At 38.5% G+C, this 8,895-nt stretch overlaps 3 annotated features.

Annotated features, from left to right (window-relative positions):
* Positions 6,453-6,953: an enhancer, noted in NCBI's record as "H3K4me1 hESC enhancer chr7:42533107-42533607 (GRCh37/hg19 assembly coordinates)". NCBI's record gives its function as "activates a minimal SCP1, AML or CMV promoter by ChIP-STARR-seq in naive H9 embryonic stem cells {active_cell/tissue: H9 hESC(naive)}" and the evidence as "EXISTENCE:reporter gene assay evidence [ECO:0000049][PMID:30033119]".
* Positions 6,557-6,851: an enhancer, noted in NCBI's record as "tiled region #13923; K562 Activating non-DNase unmatched - State 4:PromP". NCBI's record gives its function as "activates a minimal TATA promoter and a strong SV40 promoter by Sharpr-MPRA in K562 cells {active_cell/tissue: K562}" and the evidence as "EXISTENCE:reporter gene assay evidence [ECO:0000049][PMID:27701403]".
* Positions 6,557-6,851: a silencer, noted in NCBI's record as "tiled region #13923; HepG2 Repressive non-DNase unmatched - State 24:Quies". NCBI's record gives its function as "represses a minimal TATA promoter and a strong SV40 promoter by Sharpr-MPRA in HepG2 cells {active_cell/tissue: HepG2}" and the evidence as "EXISTENCE:reporter gene assay evidence [ECO:0000049][PMID:27701403]".

The raw sequence follows: 8,895 nt of genomic DNA, 5'->3' as shown, positions 1-8,895 counted from the left end.
TGTATACATAGGTAAAAATTCACCAAGTTGTACATGTAAGATTATTGTACTTTATATAAGTTATTCCCCAATAGAAAATAAAATAACATAAAAAAATAACAAAGAAAGAGCAGGATGTGTTCATGGCTTGGAGATTACTGTAGGAAGCTCAAAAATGTAACAATTTTCCCCCCCTCTTCGTTCCCTTCTTTGGCTTTTGTTGCTCACTTCTGTAGCTCCTATGTAGCTGGTGTGTTAAGGGAATGAGCCTCTTTCTTGGAAAAAGCATTCCCTTTGTTTAGAAGTTCCAACAGGACTATTCTGGGGCAGGAAAATGGAAGACTAAAGCAGGTTTGTCAATCAGCTTCTCAAAGTACAAAAGTAGCCCAAACTAAGTAATAAGTAAAGAATACCATTTAGGCAGGCATTGACCATTGCTTTGATTTTTAATGGGTATTCCTGGAGTTCCTGGAGAACTCTCTTGAGAGTGTCTCAGGGATCTAGTGGGGAAAATATAACCACAAGCAGCAACTGGTAAGGATTTGGGGATTTGGGGTTCTATAATCTGTTTTCTTAAGCAAACACACAATCTTCTCAAGGTTTTTATTTGTTTGTATGTGTGTGTTGGGGGGGTTTGGTAATATTTTGGTTACAAGGAACAGAAGTATATATAAGCTAACTGAAGTAAGAAGGAAGATTATTAAACCATTGAAAATGAATCTCACAGAATCGAAACATAAAGTATAGCAGGACACCACAGGAAATAAAGTGGGAACTGGAAAATAAATCAGAAACAGAAACAGAGGTGCGTTTTCTACTCCTTTCTCTCTGTGTCTTGTCTCTCCATGTCCATTATTCTCCTACCACAGAGCTGCCTTGTCAGCATACAGATGTGTTGCTCAACATGACTGTGCTAACATGGGTGACAACATGGCAACTTCAATCCCTAAGTGTGACTTTCCATATGTAAAAAGTTTACTCTCTGTCATTGTAGGTTCAGTTAATTAAAGCCTATGAAAGCCTTTTAAGCTTTCAAGATCTGTTTGTTGGGCTAATTCTCAGGGGCTTCTGAATCGAAATGCGATGTTGAACACAGGATAAAATTTTACCAACTCATACAAATGCTATAAAAGCAAATATATGTCTATGTACATTTCAAAAGTATGCATACACACAAAAACCCAAACACAAATAGCTACAGCAGTTTTATTTATAATTGCCAAAAACTGGAAGGAACAAAGATGCCCTTCAATAGGTGAATGGAAAACAAACTGTGGTACATCTATGCAATGGATCACCATTCTGTGATAGCAAGGAATTAGCTATCAAGCTACACAAAACTAAGGATGAATCTTGAACACATATTACTAAGTGCAATAAGCCTGTCAAAGAAGGCTGTAGACTGCATGATTCCTTTTATGTGACATTCTGGGAAATTATAGAAATAGTAAACAGAGCAGTGATTGCCTGCAGCTTGGGGAAGGGAAAATGTTGAGTAGGTGAGGCACAGAGGACTTTTTAGGATGCTAAAACTATTTTGTATGGCACTATAATGGTGGATACATGGATCTATGAATTTTTCAAATCCTATAGAACTTTACAGCACAAGGAGTAAACCTTGAAATTGTGAAAAGAGTGGACTTTAAGTGTTCTCACTACAAAAAAGATAAGCATGTGAGAGAATGCATATGCTAATTAGTTTGTTGTAGCCATTTAATAATGTATACATGTATCAAAACATCATGTTGTGTACCACAGTATATATAGCTTTTATTTGGCATTTTAAAATAATTTTTAAAGCAAACGAAAAGAGAAAACAGTGAACCTTAATGTATACAATTTTTAAAAAGTCATTTAGAAGGTCTAGGATTCCAGGTCTGGGATGCAAACTGCGACATAAGAATCTAACTGTGCTACCTGTGAGTATATAAAATAATATCATTGAAGAAGATGGGAGAAAATGTGCTGACCTTAGTAACTTTGGAAATGAGTAGAGATTGTAAGACTGAAGGCAAAGAAATTGCACATAAGCTCTGTACTATAGTTGATAAAGTTATTTTCCATGGGGATATGGATTAACAATTCTAAAACTACACTATACATGTTTACTGAAACTATACAATTAAGTAAATTCATGGTGGATGGTAGGATCCAGGTAGCAGGTACAGACATGTAATAGGATGCTAGAATGATCCACATAGCAATGGATTGGAGTTGGAGGCATTCAGTATGAACTTATGTTAGTGTAACATAGAGATACATTAAATATAGAAGTAGTTATAGGTAGGTACATGTACATTAATGGATTAATATACACACATTTTCTGTAAGCTAAAATGGCTTAGAGGCAACAAACTCCATTAGCAACACGCACATCTAGTGCCCCAGATCTTCATTTCTACTACTATTATCCAATAATAGGAACAATCTACATTTGGGGAAATGGTTGATTCTAGGACTAAGAGAATATGCAACACGAGTCTGAAGCATCTTGTGTTGCAGAATGTAAGTAAGCGCTCAAAACCAACAACAAAAAAGTATATGCACACAATGATGGGGGTATGTCAAAGAGACACAGGAGCCAATTGAAAGTGCTCCCAATAGCCAAAATTGTAGTGTTTTAACAATAAAATAAGCAATGAGAGTATTCAATGATAATCTAAAGTATAAAATAAATATCCATGAGTCTATACTGATATGATTGAATTAAGAAATCAATAAACAGGGAAGAACAGACAAAATTTTCTGTGCAGAAAAATTCCAAATAATTTATGTAGATTCTTTCCCTCAAGGAGATGGAGCACAGTTCTCCATTCCTTAAGTGTGAGCTGCACTTAGTGGCTTTCTTCTCAAGTAAGCCCCAGGATATTTCTTACTTTCCATATCCCCTTATGAGACATGCTACCTCTATCTCTCTGGTCTTCTTTCCAAAAACTCATGACCTCAGTTTAATTATGAGAAAAATATCACGCAAATTCCCAGCTGAAAGACATTCTATAAAAATATCTGACTAGTAGTCCTCAAAACTGTTAAGGTAGCTGGGCATGGCAGCACAACTGTAGTCCCAGCTACTTGGCAGGCTGAGGTGGGACGATCATTGAGCCTAGGAGTTCAAGATTGCAGTGAGCCGTCATCATGCCATTGCACTCCAGCTTGGGTAACAGAGCAAGACTTTGTCTCAAAAAAAATTTTTTTTAAGTTTTTTAAAATTAAAAACCTGTTAAGGTCATCAAAAATAAGAAAGCCCAGAAAAGCATCACAGCCAAGAGAAGCCTAAGGAGACATGACTATATTTGACATGATGCCTGATATTGTTCTCATAATTAAACTGAGGTCATGAGTTTTTGGAAAGAAGACCAGAGAGATAGAGGTAGCATTAAGAAAAGCCCAGAAAAGCATCACAGCCAAGAGAAGCCTAAGGAGACATGATGACTAAATGTCCCGGTACAGAAAAAGAGCATGGGTAAAAACTAAGAAAATCAGAATAAAATATGGATTTTAGCTAATAATGACATGTCAATATTAATTCATTAGATGTAACAAATGTAGTATACTAACATCAAATATTTACAAGAGGGGAAAACGGGCATAGGGTATATAGAACTCTGCATTATCTTTGCAATTTTTGTAAATTTGAAGCTATCTATAATAAAATTTTATTGAGAAAATACATGTACTAGCTTAAGAGTACCAAAGGGATATTTCCAAGTAAGAAAAATGAAGGGGAAATCTACATAGTACAAAGAAGCAAAAGATGTGTTGCCAAGGTGAGTGGTGCAGAATGTAAGTAAGTGCTCAAAAAAGAAATATTAATAAAACACACACACACACACACACACACACACACACACACACACACACACACAAAATAGGGGTATGTGACAGGCCCAAGAATTGGACATGGGGATGCCCAATGACAAATGCCAGCTGAGGAGCCAGAATTGGGCTCCCCACGTGAACTGGGGAATATATTGTGAGTTCACAAATAAAAATCCAGATATCCTTACCCTCCAGATTGGAAATTAGCCTTCTGCCCCAGGTAATGGCTGTGAAACATGTTACTTGCTTGAGCTCAGAACACCAAGCCTATGTGTGGCTAGATACAGACCCTGAGTCGGAGCTGTGTGTGTAGTATAAACCTTAAGAAGATGCACTTACATAAAACATCACTGGGAGCCGATGAAATCCACAGGACCAGGCACAGGCAAGTGTGAAAACAATCCATTAGGAGGTCCTTATAACCCAAGGCACAAGATGCAAGATGAATTCATAGTCAAAAATTATAAAGCTTTTGAAGAAGTTCAACATCATAACAGTCTACAGACTCAACTAATGAGGGAATTTACATTTTAGGAGTTAGAAATAATGGAGCAATCTAAAAGAGATCTAAATATACCTGTTTGAAATGTCCTATGGAAGAAATAGCATGATAAAAATAAAAACAGAGTTTATGAAAGAAGAGTCAGTGGATTTTTTTTTCCAGTAGAAACGCTGAAAAAAATACAGTCACTGAGAAAAAATTCTAAAAAAAAAAAGTTGTAATCAATGGTTTTTAACCTTGGTTACGCATCATAGTTATTGATGTCCATCTCCTGACCCACACCGATTAAACCAGAAATTCTAGGGGTGGGACCAGGCATTGATATTTTGTTAATCTGCCAGGTGATTCTAAGCTACAGCCCCTATGTGAGGTACTCTGTTAACATATTAGACATAACTGAAGAGAGAAGTATTAACAACAGCAACAACAAAACTAGACATAGCCTGAGACAGAAAAGAGGAGAAAAAAAAGAGAATGACAAGATGATAAACAAACAAGTTAAGAAACATGAAGGATGTAATAAGAAAAGTCTGATTCATACACATAATATGCATTCCAGAAGGAGAGAATAGAGAGAATTGTGGAGGAGAATTCGTCAAACAGAAAATGGTTACATCTTTTCCAAAAATGATGCAATATATCAAAAGCTCCATTGGATGCTGAGTAGATAAATAAAAATAATCCAGACCTAGACACATGATAGGGAAATGTAAAGAGGAAATGCTGGAAGTAGGTGTGGGTGGAGGGCAATGAGGCATCTCTAATACTGATGTAATTGTTGCAAGAAAAAAATTAAAATGTAGTTGTAGTATCGGAGCCTATTCTAATGTGCACTCATGCGCAAAGTAATGCAAGGTTGCTTAGTGAATACTGACTACATGCCATGTGCTGTCCTAAGAACTGGCAGACAGAAAGATAAATAAGACATGGTGGAAGAACTCCAGGGAAGAGGAGAAAGGCATGTATACAACCATGGTGGATCGTATTAATAGCACCAATACTTCAAACCTCCCTGTGTCCAGTGATTTTTTTTGTGACTTTACAGTTCTTTCCAGAGTTTATTCTCCCATTGCCTTAAAAATTGGCTGACCTTGAACTTTCTTTAGACTAGAATTCACTGGACTTGATGGTAAGTTAATTCTGAGACTAGGTCTCAAGAGACCGCGAGTATTTCTGCTGTGCTTCTGCTTTACTCTGATGACATGCCCAGGCTAGCCTGCTGGAGGATGAGAGGCGTGGGAAGCAGAGATCAGTCACCCCGGTCACCCCAGCCAACAGCCAGCCATGAATGTAGGTGATCTCAGCCAAGATCAGTAGAGCCAACCATCCTACATGTCTGATGAACAAGTGGCTATTATTGCAGGCCATACAGATGCCATTGATACGCCAGCTCCCCATAATTCAATGTGACGGAGCACACAGAAACAATCAGCAGGAAAATAACTCCAAATTTTAATTTTTTTCCCCCTAAACCATATTACACTTGTTTCCTTGGTTTCACAAAGTTCCAGCTTGTTCCGTCTGGTAAATGTGTTGGTGGCAAAAGCTGTGAGACATGGTGGCAGATGAAATCTCTTGCCCTTAAATAGCTGTCAGCTCAAAACTATAAACAGTAAATACTGTGAAGCCTGTCTTAAACCGCAGCCCAAGGGAGCCGCAGAAATTGGATGCCTCATAGAAATGATCTTTAAGTAAAGGTTGAATACAATAGCCTTGGGGATATTTTCAAATGGTGGCTCCAGACAGAGTTGTCTGATGGGAAGCGTTCGCCAGGCTGGGCTTCCTGGAGTTTGCCTGCTCTGAGACACATAATGAAAAAGAGAGCTTCAGGGTTCATCAGGGGATGGCACAGAGGCTAGGAAAATCCAAAGTATTTTATAATGTCCAGGTAAATGCTCTACTTGTGGATTCATTAATTAGACTTTCAAAGATAAGAGGCCAAATAAAAAGCTGAACTTTTTCCTCAAAGCTTGCCTTCATCTCACTGAGCAACATGCAAAATGCCCCTCACAATAAATCGTTTCCCCTTCCCAGGTAGAGCCACCTGCATTTGGTGTGTGTGATTTGGGGTGTTGAAAGCTAGCCAAAGCAAGCAGGAATGAGAGGACTGGTTAGCAGCTCTGCTCCGCAGTGTGGGAAGTGGTTAGGCTGCAGAGGGGGCACCCTAATGCATGCCTTTTGAAATCAGAGCAGCTTAAGCCCTTGAGAGGGGATGTAGGGACCCTGGGGTCCCAAGGGGAAAGATCTTGCAGCCCTGATAAGAATGGGTGCCTGGCAAGGCTAAGCTGGAATGGGAATCTCCAGGCGTGGAGAGCGTCCACTCTTGCTGTGGTCAGAATCAGAACGGAGAATGCGGAGCATGAGACAGAGGCTTTCCGTAAACACGGCTCATTCTCAGAGCACTTCAGGGCTGGGTTCCCAGAGGGCGGACATTCCTAGAAATGGTGCAGATGCACAGCCCCTCCTTCCAGGGCACCGCCCCCGCAGCCCGGCAGAGCAACCGCAGACATTTATTTTCCTTCTCCGAATAACACCGCCGCGCTGGGTGGAAACGAACCCGAGAGCCCACACTTGGCCAGCGGCCGCGGGGAGTGGGCGCCAGCAGTAGGTCCCTGCTGGGGCTGTCGCTCAGCTTCTCCCTGCGGACCTCGGACACAGCCCCCACCAAGCTGCATGCGTCCCGGCCTCCTCCCTTTCCAAAATCCGGCTGCTCCTGCTGTCAGGCACCTGAGAGGGAGCTTCCCTTAGCCTTGGAATCGCTGCCAAGGGGTCGAGCAGACTTTTCAAATTCTCTCCCCCTCCCCGGAGCCCCCACCTTCACTTAGACATTTGTAGGTCACTATTTGTTTATTTATAATTTATTGATTGATCTTTAAAATTTAATAGGCATTAGAATCACATGACATCATGCTAACAGTTCCTGATGTGAAATCTGTCTGTTTCAAGATTTTATATAAAATATTCCATTATGTTATTACACTTGTAATCTGTAGACTCCCTGCGTTTGCATAGTAGCATCCTCAGCAGGGCGATGCAGACCCGGACTTCTTGTTGAAGAGAGGGAGGAAGCTTCCTCATAAAAGGCCAGACTCTCAGTGGGCTCCGTGTGAATCTGTCTCCACACTCACGGCTGTCTAATACTGCATGCCTCAGCGTTCTCATCTATGAAATGTGAATATTAGTAGTACCTATCTTATAGGATTTGTGCTATCAAAACGTAATCCATATTAAGTAGATAACTCAATGCTTGGCACATAGTGAGTACCCACTGTTAGTATTAGAATTGTTTCTGTAAATACTATTACTACTATTAAAATTTTTCTGAATCAGCTCTTTATTTGTGGATGACATGAAACCTTTTCAGAAGTAATTTAATGTATCTTATTACAAGGCAAATTCTTTTGGTTTTCATATTTTTCTAATAAATACAAGAGAAGCTGACAAAAACAAAATGATAAAGCAAAGAGAAAAGCGAAGGCAGGGAGATCAATTTTAATATCAAATAAAGCAAAGATATTGAGAGAGAGAGATTTTTGTGTTCATTGCAGACAACATTCCCATTCAAGATATAGCAGCAGAAAACAAACAGGCATACTAACAATTTCGTGCTTCTGACTTTGTACTCTTTGTCTAAAAAGTGACTCCTAAAATTGTATAAAATTCAGGGCCACAAATCTGAACTGCACCTGAAAACATGTAAAGCAAAAACTGTTAGGAGTGTAAGAAAATTAACAGCTTCCATATATTTGATTAGAAACAGTTGTAGAAGAATATTTAACAACACAGGAAGATGTTCGTGATATAGTACATACTAAAAGATTAATAACAGTTTCATGTACATATGTCCTGAGGTCAAGGACCAGTTTGCCAAACAGACCAGTTCCCCTTGGAGAGTCACCTTAAAGTCCTAATTAGCCTATTAAAGGCTCTGAGAAATCCAAACACCAAGTTTAACTCTTAAATATAGTGTTTTCTACCACTTTTATTTGAGAATGCAGAACTTTTTCACAATACTCATATTAAACTTCTTTTGAACAATTTTTAATATACACCTTTTTGGGATATGCTATCCTAGAAGCACGTCCATTAGAATCAAATTAAAAAAAAAGAAAAGCCAACTCTATCAGGTGTGAGTGTGTGTGTGTGTGTGTGTGTGTGTGTGTGTGTAATATAAATTGTATAACTATGTAAATATGATATAAAAGGCTACTGGAAAGGATACCAATTATCACTTTTACAGATGACATGATACAATTTTCTCCTTAAACTACCCAAGATTAAGATTGAAAAAATATTAGAACCATATTTTAGTGTATATACAAAATAAATATATTAGAAACTGATTTGACTTACTTTTTATCTGCTACCTATCTACACTGCTTGAGTTTTTGCTTTATCATAATATTATTTTTACAATTTAAAAAGTCTTCTTTAAATTCATGAGGCGTTAGGCTCTTAGAATGAAAGATACTGCCTCATTTCTTGATAATTAGAAACTGTTAAAAAGTCACTTAAGGAATCAGCAGTATTAGTGTCTGATAAAATAAGAACTTCTCAAAATTTGATGTATTGCTGTGTGCAGGGCTCACTCCAAT

Source organism: Homo sapiens, chromosome 7, assembly GCF_000001405.40.
Source record: "Homo sapiens chromosome 7, GRCh38.p14 Primary Assembly".
NCBI classification, from domain to species: Eukaryota; Metazoa; Chordata; class Mammalia; order Primates; family Hominidae; genus Homo; species Homo sapiens.
This window is presented reverse-complemented; position numbering and strand designations above follow the sequence as displayed.